Here is a 14,407-nt window from a genome sequence, read left to right on the forward strand (position 1 = left end):
TGGGGGGCCAGGTGCAGTGGCTCACACCTATAATCCCAACACTTTGGAAGGCTGAGGTGGACAAATCACTTGAGGTCAGTAGTTCAAGACCAGCCTGGCCAATATGATGAAACCCTATCTCTACTAAAAATACAAAAATTGGCTGGGCGTGGTGGTGCACACCTGTAGTCCCAGCTACTCAGGAGGCTGGGGCAGGAGAATTGCTTGAACCCGGGAGGCAGAGGTTGCAGTGAGCCGAGATCGTGCCATTGCACTCCAGCCTGGGCAACAGAGTGAGACCCCATCTCAAAAAAAAAAAAAAAAAGATGGGCATATCAATTAGGATTGTATTTAGCTCTAAGCATCAGAAAACCTAACAGCAGCTTAATCAAGTCAGTATTTATTTGACTCATACACAAGGCATCACAGTCCAGAGCTGGTGTCACCGTGCCTTGATGCCACCAGACCAGATCCCCGTCTTCCAGCTTTGACATCCATAGCATAGAGGTTTCCTCTTCATGGTGGCAAGACATCTGCCACACCCCCAGACATCATGTCCTCGTTCCAGGCAGGAAGAAGTAGGGAAATGAGAGGTCAAAGGGATCTTCGCCTTTTTGTTCAGAAAGGTACCATCCTCAGGACCTTCAATTTTCACCTCCATGGCCAGTACTCTGCCTCACAGGACTTAAGGCTGCTAAGTGGAAACAAAGTTCTGTTGGCAAGGAGATGGAGAGAAGCAGCGAACTATGTCTGCCAAAGAGGGATGAAGAAAATAGTGGACGTTCAGTGGAAGTTCCTCTCAGTGTGAGGAACTTCATATTCACAGGGCCCACTGCCAGCAGAGAGCTCATTTCCAAATCCTGTGCAGCCCCAAAAGCCCTTAGGCACGTCCTTGCTTCAGAAAGCAGTCAGTAGCCTGGTTTTTCTAGGTTTTTCTAAAGAAAAACTAGGAAAAAGTAGCCCTTGCATTTGGAAAAGAAAAAAGTCATTGCAGTCATAGAGTAATTCTAAACAACCACTTTTTCAGAAGTGATGACATGTGGGGTTCCTGTTCATTACATTATGACGAGACCCAGGTACCTGAATCTTGGATCCAGACCTTAGCCCAGGGAGATGACTGGATTGGTAATGACAAATGGAAGCAAATGACACTTCACTGGTAGCTGGGCTTGGGAGCTACCCTCATGGCAGAGAGCTCTAAGCTGGATGGGAGTACATAGAATACTCCTTTTTTTAAGTCTAAGTAGCTTCAGACCAAATCGGTCTGACCCAGAATACCTGCTAGTATGGAGAGTGGGATGGGGAGAAGGTAACTAGAAAATGCAAGATCATGTTTACCCCAACAGCATAGAACCACGCTAGCTGGGGCTCTGGCTGGGAGGAGATGCTAGTCATTCTCTCCCCATGCACAAATGGTTTATAGCTATGTGGTCCAATATGGTACCTGCTAGCCACATGTGGCTATTTAAATTTAGTTAAAATGGAATAAAAGTTAAACTTAGTTCTTCGCACTACCCGTATTTCAAGTGTTCAAATGTGGCTCATGGCTACCATATTGGATAGCACAGAATCCAAACATTTCCATTGTCACAGACAGTTCTATTGGACGGTGCTGGTATAACTTGTACCACTTCTGTTACACAAAAGGGAGAGACAGAGGGAAAATACCAAGCTCACCACTCCAGTAGCACAGGAAGAGAGAAGACCGCAAGACCTACCCATGCTTTCTGCCGTTGAATGTGCTATGAACTCCAGTTCCCAAAGGTGGCCCATGTAACACCCTAGAACCTAACCAATCCTAGGTACTCTTCCTCCTCCCTGGAGTGGATCAAGGGCTGGTGTGAGCTTGTAAGTATCTCTCTAAGCCCAGAGTCTGACTATGAAGTAGGTGTGTCATATGTCCCTGGTTTTCCAAATATGCTTTCTCTTTGCCATCCCCGGTACATGAATAAAACGGCATTTTTAAATGACATGATTCTTCCTCACAGGAGACCCGATATATCTGAGATAGAAGAGGCCACGACTCCATGTCCATTCTGCAAATTTCTTCTCCCAGAGTGTGAACTCCTCTGTCCTGGATGTAAAAACAGTATCCCATATTGCATTGCAACAGTGAGTTCCTTTATAGTAATTTCCCTTTCTTTGCATATATATTTGTAACCCATTTGAATACTTGATGTATGTCAATATTTTCTTCACTTTTAAAATAATCTTATCCCTCAAATTTCCTGCAACATCTAGCATTTTATTTCATAGTCAATACAGTTAAAGGTGATATTCAAAGCAAATAATAATAGTGGAGGCACTATCACTGCAGGACCAAATAGCACAGACTCGGGGATCAGACTATCCCGGGCTCAGTCCTCTGTAGTAACACCTGCCTACTGAATCAACCACAGATTGACGAGCTACACAATTCCTTGGTGCCATCCTGGCAGGCTGCAGCACTTAATAAGCAGTAGTTTTTATTATAATATTGAGACCTAGTATCAGAGAACTTTAACATATCAGGTTATTTATAATTCACTGGATTAATTTAAGCTTTATTTTAAAGAAAACTAAATTCAGGTAATATCACAAAACTGAATATTATTCCTTTAAACATGAATCTGATAAGTAAAACCTAGCTTTAATCCTTTTAATGCTGTCTCTCTGTTACCCACACATGTGAAATAGCAATGATTTTATAATTTAGAGGTCTGACTTATAACTGGAATTCAATTATTATAATTGAATAACAGGCAGGGTACAGTGGCTCATGCCTGTAATCCTAGCACTTTGGGAGGCCGAGGCAGGCGGATCATTTGAGGTCAGGAGTTGAAGACCAGCCTGGCCAACATGGTGAAATGCTGTCTCTACTTAAAACACAAAAATTAGCCAAGCATGGTGGCGCACGCCTGTAGTCCCAGGTGCTCAGGAGTCTGAGGCAGAAGAATCGCTTGAACCCAGGAGGTGGAGGTTGCAGACAGCCAACAATGTGCCACTGCACTCCAGCCTGGGTGACTGGGCAAGATTCCGTCAAAAAAAAAAAAAAAATTGACTAACAGTGGGAGTTTTTAAAATAAAGATGAATTTAACTCTTAAACATCCTGTTTCCAGGGTCGACACATGTTGAAAGATGACTGGACGGTGTGTCCACATTGTGACTTCCCTGCTCTATACTCAGAATTGAAGATGTAAGTGTGCATCACGTCACTCAGTCTCACTGATTTCTCCCGACACAGGCCTTTCATTCTACCTCTTTTCTTCCGAAGCATTCTTCTATTTGTGTTCCTAAGGATCTCTAAAGACTCAAATTGTCTTCTGGGAAGAACCTCCTGTGACCTTTGAGAATATTATCTTTAAAGAGGATCTTGCATGAGACTGAATAGTTCTGATTCTCAAATTGCATGGTGGACATGTGTTAAGAGGTGTAGACAGAAAGTTGTTGTCTTTCTCATTAGAGTAACCCAAAGCTAAAGGAATGTTATATATTTAATTTACTCTGCCTTTCCCTCCCCTAAACAGCATGCTAAACACTGAAAGCACATGTCCTATGTGTTCAGAAAGATTAAACGCTGCTCAGCTGAAAAAGATTTCAGACTGTACCCAGTACCTGCGAACGGAGGAGGAACTGTGATTGGCACGTGCAGGTGAGTGGCAGAGCGCCCACGCACCTTCTGGGCGCAAGGGCCCACAGCGTGCACGCAGCTTTTCACTGTGTATCAGCATCAACTCCTTTCAGTGCACCATGGAACTTGCCAGATTTGAACAATCTGACAACCACCTTTTGATGTATTTTTTTTAATGCTAAAATGCAGGTATTATCATCTCCATAATGACAAAGGTTGTTTAGCCAAGCAGTATGATTCTGACTAGACCAGATTTTGTCAAATCTCACAGGGGTCTTTTTAATCACTCCATTAAAACTAGAGCCAGCTAATAAAAGTATTTTTTTTTAGGGTCTGTGATATAATTCAGGAGAATATATTGTAAAAATGTTGGCTTCCAGAGATTTGGAAATAATCTCCATTTCTTTTTCTTTCCAAGTCCCATTTTTGTCACGTGGAAGCTACACATATTCCTTCTACTTCATTCCATTGGAAGCACTTACTCGTGGCCACACATACTGCGGAGGAAGGCAGGGAAATGTAGTCTTTAATTGAGAAGCCAAAAGCCGTGCCAAAACTCAGGATATTCTTTTACCAAAGGGAAAGGTGAAAGTAATTCATCTCTGACACAGCATCTCACACTTAGCCTGGTTAGATAGGAGTCGAGATGTCCCTCCACAACCTCTCTCTGTTTTCCCTTCCTCAGGAAGCGGCAGCTCCAGCCAACCAGTTGGACAGGACAGAAACCTACATATTATCTAGATACCTCTCACCCTCAGCCCCCATGAGCAAGGGCTCTCAGGCTATCTCCAGTATATCTGGTTCGTGGTTCTCTTGGCTTTTTATTGCACCTGCAAAAACAAAGAGCCTCCAAGTCTGTCCATGAACAGGCCCAGCCTCCTCCTCCTGCCTCAGGTCTGATTACTCACCATGTTGCAGCCCCACTGGCCTTCTTGCCCTTCCCTGGCCACTCCAAAATGTTTTCCACAGAAGTTGCACCCTCTTACATTCCCACCATCAGCACACAAGCGTTCGTCTCTCCATTCCACATCCCTGCCAACAGCTGCTGTCTGCCTTACTTTTTTTTTTTTTTTTTTTTTGAGACAGTCTTGCTCTATTGCCCAGGCTAGAGTACAGTGGCATGATCTCGGCTTACTGCAACCTCTGCCTCCCAGATTCTAGTGATTCTCGTGCCTCAGGCTCCCTGAGTAGCTAGGACTACAGGCGTGTGCCACCACGCTCGGCTAACTTTTGTATTTTTAGTGGAGACGGGGTTTCACCATGTTGGCCAGGCTGGTTTCCAACTCCTGACTTCATGCGATTCGCCGGCCTCAGCCTCCCAAAGTGCTGGGATTACAGGCATGAGCCGCCACACCCAGCCGGGTGTTTGTCTTTTTATTGTTCAGTTCTAAGAGTTCTTTATATGTTCTAGATACAAGTTCTATATCATGTATATGATTTGGAAGTATTTTTTTGTGGGTTTTTTTCCCTTTTCTTGTTTTTTTTTTTTTTTTTTTTTTAATAGAGGCAGGGTCTCGCCACATTGCGCAGATTGGTCTCGAACTCCTAGGCTCAAACAATCCTCCTACCTTGGCCTCCCAAAGTGCTGGGACTACAGGCATGAGCCACCATGCTCAGCCTTGGTAGCATCTTTGATGCACAAGTATTTTATTTTGATGAAGTCCAATTTATCTGTTTGATTTTCACCCCCTTTGGTTGCTTATGCTTTTGGTATTGTATCAAAAACCATTGCCAGGCTGGGCACAATGGTGCATGCTTATAATCCCAGTGCTTTGGGAGGCCAAAGTGGTAGGATCACTTGAGCTCAGAAGTTTGAGACCAGCCTGGGCAACATAGTAAGACCATGTCCCTACAAAAAAATAATTAGCCAGGTATGGTGGCATACACCTGTAGTCCCCGCTGCTTGGGAGGCTGAGGCAGGAGGATCACTTGAGTCTGGGAGGCTGAGGCTGAAGTGAGCTGTGATCAAGCCACTGTACTCCAGCCTGGGCAACAGGCTCAAAAAACCAACCAACCAATCAACCATTGTGTAAAGTAGACACAGTGGCATGCAGCTGTTATCCCAGCTACTCAGGAGGCTGAGGCAGGATTGCTTGAGTCCAGGAGTTCAAGACCAGCCTGGGCAACATAGCGAGATCCCATCTCTAAATAAAAACAGTGCCTACTCCAAGGTCATGAAGATTTACACCTGTTTCCTTCTAGGAGTTTTATAGTCATTACTCTTATATTTAGGTCTTTGATCCACTTAGTTTTTGTGTCTGGTGTGAGATAGGGATGCAGCTTCCTTCTTTTGCATGTAGATATCCAGCTGACCCGGCAGAATTTGCTGAAAAGACAAATTTTCCTCATTGACACTGGATTATTGTCTATTTGAGATGTAAGTTTTTTATGTATGTATTCTAGATACAAGTTCTTTGTCAGATATATTTTGCAAATATCACACTCTGTGGCTTCCCATTTCTTTTTCTGAATGGTATCTTTTGATGAGGTTTTGATTTTGATGAATTATAATTTGTTAAATTTTAAATTTTTTGGTTATTGCCTTCTTTGTCCTAAATATATATGTGTGTGTGTATATATATATATATATATATAGAGAGAGAGAGAGAGAGAGAGAGAGAAAGCCTACTAACAAGTCAGGAACATATTTTTCTGTTTTCTTCTAGAAGCTCTAGATCTGCAATTTATCTTGAAATGATTTTTGTTTCCAGTGTGAGGAGGGGTTGGGTTTTCTTCCCCTCAACTGGATATAAAATGTGGGCCTATTTCTGGACCCTCTCTTCTTTGCCGTTGACGTGTTTTTCCCTTGTTTTAATACTACACTATCTTCATTACTGTGGCTTTATAGACTCTCTTAAAGTCAGGTACTGTGGATCCTCCAATGTGTTATTTTTTTTTCCAAGATTGTTTTGGCTGTTATTCTTTTTATCTTTGTAGACAATTTTAGAATCAGTTTCTCAAATTCTGTTTTAGAAACCTGCTCAAATTATGATTGGGGCTTGTATTAATTTTGTTGCTGTATAACAAATTATCACAAATTTAGCATCTTAAAACAACACACATTTATTATCTCACAATTTCTATGGTTATGGGTCAGTAGTCTAGGTATGGCTTAGCTGGGTCTTCTCAGGGTCTCTCAAGGCGATAATCATCGTGTTGACTGGAGCTGAAATCTTATCCGAAGTCTTTTTCTAGTCTATTTGTTAGGTTTTGTTTTCTTTGGCGGGGGGAGGATTCTGATCTTTATGGTCAGAGGACTGAAGCCCTTAGCTCCTACAGGCAGTTTCCTGACACGTGACCCTCCCCACAACATGAAACTGCTTCAAGTCCAGTGTAAGAGCATCTCTCATATTTACAATCTCTCCCTTCAGGTAAAGTCTGGACCCTATTATAAAGGGCTCACCTGATGAAGCCCACAACAAACTCTCTTTTGATTTGGAGTCCATTGATTGGGACCTTAACTACATCTGCAAAATTCCTTCATCTCTATCATATAATTAAATCTAATATGGTTATTATCACATCATATCACAAGCCCTGCCCACACTCAAGAGGAAGGTATTACATAGGATAAGTATCACTGGTGTGGGAAATTTAGGGACCATCCTAGAATTCTGCCTATCACAACAGTTAACATTGATTCTGTAGATCATTTTGAGAACTGACATCTTTAACAGCAGTCTGCCAATCTATGAATATGGTATATCTCTACATTTATTTAGATCTTTTTCAATTCCTCATCACTGTTTTGCAGGGTTTTTTGTTTGTTTTTGAGATGGAGTTTCACTCTTGTCGCCCAGGCCAGAGTGCAATGATGCAATCTCAGCTCGCTGCAACCTCTGCCTCCCGGGTTCAAGTGATTCTCCTGCCTCAGCCCCCCAAGAAGCTGAGATTACAGGCGCCCGCCACCACGTCCAGCTAATTTTTGTATTTTTATTAGAGATGGGGTTTCACCATGTTGGCCAGGCTGGTCTTGAACTCCTGACCTCAGGTAATCCACCCACCTCGGCCTCCCAAAGTGCTGGGATTACAGGTGTGAGCCACCGTGCCCGGCCTATTTTGCAGTTTTGAATAAAGAAGTCTTTCGTGTCTTTTGTTAAATTTATTTCTAAATAATTTGGGGAGATTTTAATACTCAATGAAATTTAGTTTTTCATTTTCTAATTGATTACGTAGGAAAGTGCAATTAATTTTTATATATTGACCTTGCATCCTATAACCTTTCTAAATTGACTTATGTCTAGTAGTTGTACTGTAGAATCCTTAAGATTTTCTGCGTAAAGTCATCTACAAATACACAAAAAATTTACTTATCTTTCCAATCTTTATAACTTTTATTTTTCTTCTCATACACACTGGCTAGGACCTCCTCTGCAATGTTGTATAATAGTAGAGTCAACATCCTTGTCTTGTTCTCAGTGTTGGAAGAAGGCATTTAGTATTTCACTATTGTGATGTAAGATTTTTCAGAGAGGTCTCCTAACAAATTGTGGAAGTTTCCTTCTAGTTTACTATGTGACAAATTTTGTCAAATGCTTTTTCTCTATCAATTGAGATGATATGGTTTTTTCTCTTTAATCCATTTATATGGTAAGGTATATTGATTTTCAATGTTAAAGCCAACTTTTACTCTGGAGATAAACTCACTTGATCATGATGTATTATCCTATTGCTGGATTATTTTGCTAATATTGAGAATATTGTGTCTGTGTTCATGGGGGATACTGGTCTACAATTTTCCTCTGTTGTGTTTTTTTTTCAAGTGTTATTATCAGGCTGAATTTAGGTCTACAATTTTGTTACTTGTTTTTTATTTGTCCTATCCACTTTTTGTTCAGTTCCTCTTGTCTTGCCTTCTATTTGACTAAATATTTTTTCGTATTTCATTTGATTCTTCTATTGACTTTTTACCTATGTTTTTACAAAATTTTGTACTTGATTAATATCCTATTATATATATACACACACACACAAATATACATATGTACACATTATAAATCCTGTAATACAATGATATAATTTTTCTTTAGTTGTGTCTTTTTAAAGGAAATTATAAAGAAAAAAATACAATGTAGCTTTACATTTACCCACATTTATAATTTCCATGTTATTCTTGCCTGAATCCAAGTTTCCATATGGTATTATTTCCTTTCAGCCTGAAGTACTTCCTTTGACATTTCTTACATGTGCAGGTTTGCTGGTGACTTCTTCTCTGTCTTTATTTTCCTTCATTTTTGAGGATATTTTCGCTTGATATGGAATTCTGAGGTTTTCTTAAAGCACTTTCACGATTGTCTCCAGTATCAAACTTCATTGTTCCCCTGCATTTACTGGTTTCTTTCTGGCTACATTCAAGGAATTCTCTATTTTTGGTTTCCAGAATTTTGACTATACTTGCCTGGGTGTGGTTTTTAAATTTTTTTAACTTGGGATTTTCTAGAATTCTCGAATCTGTATGTTTATATTTTTCCCTCAATTGGGACATTTTGAGACATTATTTCTTCAATCACTTTTTCTATCCCTTTCTGTCTTCTCATTCTGGAACTCCAGTAATATCTGTGTTTGACTACTTGATGTCAAGGTCACTAAAGTTCTTTCCTCTGTCATCTTTTTTTTCTGTTCATATTGGATAATTAGTTTTGATCTATATTCTAGTTCACTGACCTTTCTTCTAAGTAAGTAAAAAAAATTTTTTTTTTTTTTTTTTTTTTTTTGAGACAGGATCTCACTCTGCTGCCTGGGCTGGGGTGCAGTGCCACAATCATCGTTCACTGCAGCCTCAAACTCCTGGGCTCAAATGATCTTCCTGCCTCAGCCTTGCAAGTAGCTATGACTACAGGCATGTGCCACCATACCCAGCTTTTTTTTTTCTTTTTTTTAGACATGGGGTCTCACTATGTTGCCCAGGCTGGTCTTGAACTCCTGGACTCAAGTGATCCTCCCACCTCAGCCTCCCAAAGAAGTGTTGGGATTACAGCTGTGAACCACCATTCCTGGCTTTCTAAAAAAAAAAAAAAAAAAAAAATTCAGATTTTGTCCCAAGTTTATAACTGTTATCTATGGGAAAATTAAACTGCAAGTGGAACCTTGTATTTTTAAAAAACATCCACAGAATCTCTCCAAACACTATCAATCAATCATGGCATTAGATTATGCTTTATACAAAACTTCAAGTAACCAGACCATGGTACATCATAGCTCCTTGCAGATATGTCTTCATTGAGTTATGATTATGCACTATCCTTCAGAAACGTCACTATAGCCAGGCGCAGAACCTGTGGCCATAGTCGCAGCTACTCAGGAGGCTGAGGCATGAGGATCACTTGAGCCCAGGAGCTCAGGGCTCTAGGAGACTATAATCATGCCTATGAACAGCCACTGTACTCCAGCCTGGGCAATGTAACAAGACCCCATCATCTCCTAGGAAAAAAAAAAAGACACACACAAAGTCACTGTAAGCATCCTTATACAGTGAATACTGGTTGAAGCTGTTGTTCACTGGCGTTTAGACAAATATAACTGTTTAATTTCAGGAAAATTTTTTCTCTACAAATTGCTGAGCACTTTGCATTTGTTCTTCCCAGTGAGATGGCTGTTATCATCAGCATCCTTACTTCATTACAAAGGCTCAAGAGCTTACCCACACAATTTTAGTCAGTTGGCAAGGCTAATACTGAAACTTGATGCGGATTACAGTCTAGAGATTTCTAACTTGAATGTTTCCTGTTCCACATTCTAGAAACAGGCAAAAAAAAATTCTTTTTAGTATGTTTGGCTTTATTACTAAATGCCAGCCATTACTTGAAACCCTTCTAGAGGCATGTGTTCTGTTTGTCCTTTCTAGATACAATGCTCCTGAGAAGACAGCATTTTCCACAGGAGGCTGTTTCCTCCCCTGGTGGATTTAAGAGACGGTCCTTTCTGGATACAGAGAAATGAAACAACGGTGACCTCTCCAGGTCGGCACTTTCCACTTCTGTACGGTGGCAAAACGATGACATGTAACCTTGCTGTTTATTGTACTTTGTATATTATTTCCTCTTCAAAGTCTTTCTTACACACTCTATCCTCTGCACTGTTAATAGTAACCTATGACATAATTGTAAATATTCAGCTTTTTGCTAACTTTTGTATTTTGAAAAACTTTAAAATAAAATTGTTGACTAGATATCTGTGACGTTTTTCTGGATTTGGAGACAGAAAAAGAGATAAAGGTAGTTCTGAAGGACATTGTCAAGTTTGAACACAGATGTGAATGGTGTAAAAAGCTTGAAATGAAAAGCTGTTGTTTATACAAATCACAGCTATTAAGCAGAATCAATCAGCCCAGAAGCAAAACATCAAAAATTAGGAAAACCAATCTTGTAAAGAATGAATGAAACTATCAGCTTATATCTATCTGCCGAGTCATTCTACTGCATACTACAGAATTCCCGTCACAAAATTAAGTCATTTGACTTCCCCTGAAAACATACATTGTTTGTTTGGAATCATCTTCTCTGAGGCTGTGTGAAGGTTCTTTTTCCCCATATCACACATACAACACACACCATCTGTACACACACACACACTCTCTCTTGCTCCAAGGGAGTACATACTTCTTCTTCTTTTCCCACATCAGTATATGCTTCCTTGCCATCCAAGGCCAGTCACCAAAGTCTGAGCAGCTGACAGAAATGAGTCAGGGAGTCAACTGTGAATGAATCCGATGATATTATTTTACAGTATGGCCCCAGCAACCTGAGCATTACAGTGGTACCCAGGGGCCTAAGCTAGGGCCCAAGGTGCCAGTAATGTTGTATAGCATCCAAGTATCCCAACTGCATGATGCCTCCAGCTTCAGGACCTGTCCTTCCCTCCCAGTGGCCGGCCAGAGAACAGGCCAGAGGCCTTGGCCTTACTAAGTGGTACAAAGTTATTATCATCATAAAACCTACCCACAGTCCCCTGCTTCCTCTAATATGCCTGGAGGTATACTGTAAGGCTGTAGGAATAAGAACCACAGGCACCTGGGACTGTGAGAGTGGGCAAATAATTCTTAGGAGTTACAGGCCTTAGACCTTCACCATGAGCATACTCATACTGGAGCTTGTTTAGGAAGCTACTCATCCTAGTACAAATAATCTACCCCATCAGTAACTTTAAGAGATCAAATCATGGTGGTGCTACAAACTGCCAACATTTAACAAGATGAAGGCTAAAGCTGAATGGTGTGTAAGTAACAAAATGGCCGTGACTCAATGGATCTCGAAAAGAGTAAGTATACAGTTTTATGCTGCAAAGATGGCATGTGCCATCAAGTGGCTCCAAAAGGCCACATCATCGGTGGCTCCAATGAAGACTCAACCCCAATACAGACCATTCAGATTCACATCCAAACTGCTGCAGAACCACCAACTGCCTCCTACCATGAATCTCACTCATTCACCTCATGGTCACGAGGGCTTCAAAGAGGAATCAGACCTATGCCATCCTCATAAAGGGCATATTTACAATTTCTAATTCTAAAAGAAATGCTATTAATTTTACACACATATTATCCCAATCTTGGGTTTAAAACATTTAAAATTACAAACAAAATCATAATGAACAAGTGAAGGACACTATGCCGCATCCTGGCTGCATGGAGATTCAAGTCTCTCTCCTGGGGGCTGCAGAAGACCTAGGGAGACGTGACTTGCATATCCAAAAGGCATAGAAATGGAAGAACATGAATAGGAAAGCCAGCCTCACCCTACTGGTGAGAAAACCTTTCCTGAAGCATAAGAATTTCAAGATGGACTTTAACAAAGACAGGGTCGTGACTCAGCAGGCAAGGGCTTAGGCAATGTTTTATTTCCATAATGAATTAATCTCCATAAATGACATTTTTCACACTGGTAAATACAGTTTAAATGTCTCAAGAACTTTGTCTCATCACCCAAACAAGACTACCAGTTCCTTAAAGCAGGGAATACGATCCTTATTTTACATTCATTTTAGTATATACCTCACAGAGGTAGCACAGACCTCTGAGCATTTACCAACAAGATTAAAAAATAGCTAGACATCTAAATTCCAGGCTAGGTCCATAGCCTCACGGCCACTCAACACATACAGTTATAGGAATAACCCAAACTTCCAACAGGGTTTGTGGAAGCCATCACAGGACAGGACTAGATCTCTCAGGGGCAAAGTGAACAAAAGCCAGTGTTCATTTTGTCCCCCACCATAGTGAAATTAAGAGCCTGACCCAGCCTGGTTCCTACTGGTCTGAACCTGATGGGTTGAGACTCCAGAAGGATAAGAATGTCTGAGAATCTTCTGCAGCCCCCCACGCTGCAAAGCCCCATAACAGACCACTGCATGAAATCCTATTCACAGCAGAGACGTGGTCAACACACACAGAGGGAGTGAGGCTGGGAATCCGAGTTCTGACTCCTCGACTGCCAATGTTATGTTTCACACAACAGGTTAGTAAGGAATACAGTGAGCTTTTTTAATCCAATCATTTGCAAATTAATAAGGAAGTAATATACCAACATAATATTTTGCTGTACAAGATGACAATCTTAAAAAGAATTTGTACACATATCATGTGGAACATTTTTATTCCTAATTTATACTTTGAAAGATATCTGACAATGTACAAAGAATACCCAGTTCTAGGTGGTGACTGTTTTGTATAATCATTTATTTACAAAATTTCACCACATAATAGGAACTGCCTTTAAAAAAAATCAGCATTGGTCCTATAAAGGCCATTAGGATAAATTCTTAAGCCTACAAAAGACGCCTTAGTACTACTGCTCCCAGGCTCATTATTGTTAACTAAAATCTGACTCCAAAGCCCAGGTGTAGTTTCTAGTTCCAATTCTACAGTCATTCAGAAGCACGTCTAACTAGATTGACAGAGGACAGTGGAGGACCCAAGCAGTCCTATCAACCTCTATAAGAGGTGTACATAAGCCTACTGCTCATACCCTTCTAGCCATACCACCCTTTATTTATAATGGGACACCAGGTCATCCCATTATGCTAAAACATGGTTGCTCTGGGAAAAAACAAGGCTTTCTCTAGACCAGCTGGACTGGTCAGGAGGGAGAGTAAAAAGTGGCTGTCGCTAGTGAAAAATGGTTTCATTTCTTCGAACTTTTTCCTTTTCCTTTTCTGGGCTCCTTATCTTTTTCTGGTTTTGAAGGCTTTGAAGATTTTGTCTTTTTCTGTTAGGGGGAAGATAACAAAATAGTTAATAGCTGTGTTTATGAGTAAATGAAATAAGTTCATCTCTATAACAAATCTAATCTTTACCTGCAACTTAATTAAAAAAGAAGAGAGGCTGCAAACATCGAGATCTTGAACTACTGCAACCCATGAAGCGCTTACAGCAACAACTGCGCCACTTACAGCCTTTAAAAGCTGGCAGTAAAAACTTTTAGTTTAGAATTTAGAACTAGGATCCGTTCCCCATGTAAGACAGTTTCTTGGATTTAGAACAGAGGTATACTTAGGAAAGACAAAATAAGCAAGAGGTAATTGACAAATAGGGTAATGTTTAGATGAAGAATTTCCTCTTCTTTCAGTTTCAGATTAGAGGTGTAAACAGTCATTTTGTGAAAGCAGAAGAGAGGGAGAGAGGAAGACCACCTGTTAGGGTCGACATGGGAGCCACAGTGAAGAAGGCCACTATTCCTACTCCTGCATACAGAAAACAGAAATGAAGGGCAAGAAGCACCCACACCCAGCGAAGGACAGAGGAGGATCAGATGAGGTTCCTTGGCTCAGCCAGCTGTACACAGCAGGCTGATACCACAATTGGTTTTCATATTTCCCATCAA

General features: G+C 40.8%; 2 protein-coding genes across 12 annotated transcripts in view, besides 1 other annotated feature; one reads left to right on the forward strand and one right to left on the reverse strand.

Annotated features, from left to right (window-relative positions):
* Window positions 1–10,758, forward strand: part of WDR19 (WD repeat domain 19) — a 103,282-nt gene extending 92,524 nt beyond the window's left edge. For all 6 annotated transcript variants that reach the window (XM_011513724.2, NM_025132.4, NM_001317924.2 and 3 more), the window contains 4 exons: window positions 1,968–2,091; window positions 3,079–3,155; window positions 3,487–3,611; window positions 10,435–10,758. In XM_011513724.2, the coding sequence (XP_011512026.1) occupies window positions 1,968–2,091; window positions 3,079–3,155; window positions 3,487–3,598 (313 nt within the window). In that variant the 3' untranslated portion in view covers window positions 3,599–3,611; window positions 10,435–10,758. The remainder of the gene's footprint in view (window positions 1–1,967; window positions 2,092–3,078; window positions 3,156–3,486; window positions 3,612–10,434) is intronic.
* Window positions 9,205–9,450: a silencer, noted in NCBI's record as "fragment chr4:39285877-39286122 (GRCh37/hg19 assembly coordinates)". NCBI's record gives its function as "represses an EF-1alpha promoter that drives an FKBP-Casp9 reporter gene in an ReSE screen in K562 erythroleukemia cells {active_cell/tissue: K562}" and the evidence as "EXISTENCE:reporter gene assay evidence [ECO:0000049][PMID:32094911]".
* RFC1 (replication factor C subunit 1) overlaps window positions 12,404–14,407 on the reverse strand; it is a 78,907-nt gene continuing 76,903 nt past the window's right edge. For all 6 annotated transcript variants that reach the window (XM_047416054.1, NM_001363495.2, NM_001363496.2 and 3 more), the window contains one exon: window positions 12,404–13,792. In XM_047416054.1, the coding sequence (XP_047272010.1) occupies window positions 13,709–13,792 (84 nt within the window). In that variant the 3' untranslated portion in view covers window positions 12,404–13,708. The remainder of the gene's footprint in view (window positions 13,793–14,407) is intronic.

Source organism: Homo sapiens, chromosome 4, assembly GCF_000001405.40.
Source record: "Homo sapiens chromosome 4, GRCh38.p14 Primary Assembly".
Taxonomy (NCBI): Eukaryota; Metazoa; Chordata; class Mammalia; order Primates; family Hominidae; genus Homo; species Homo sapiens.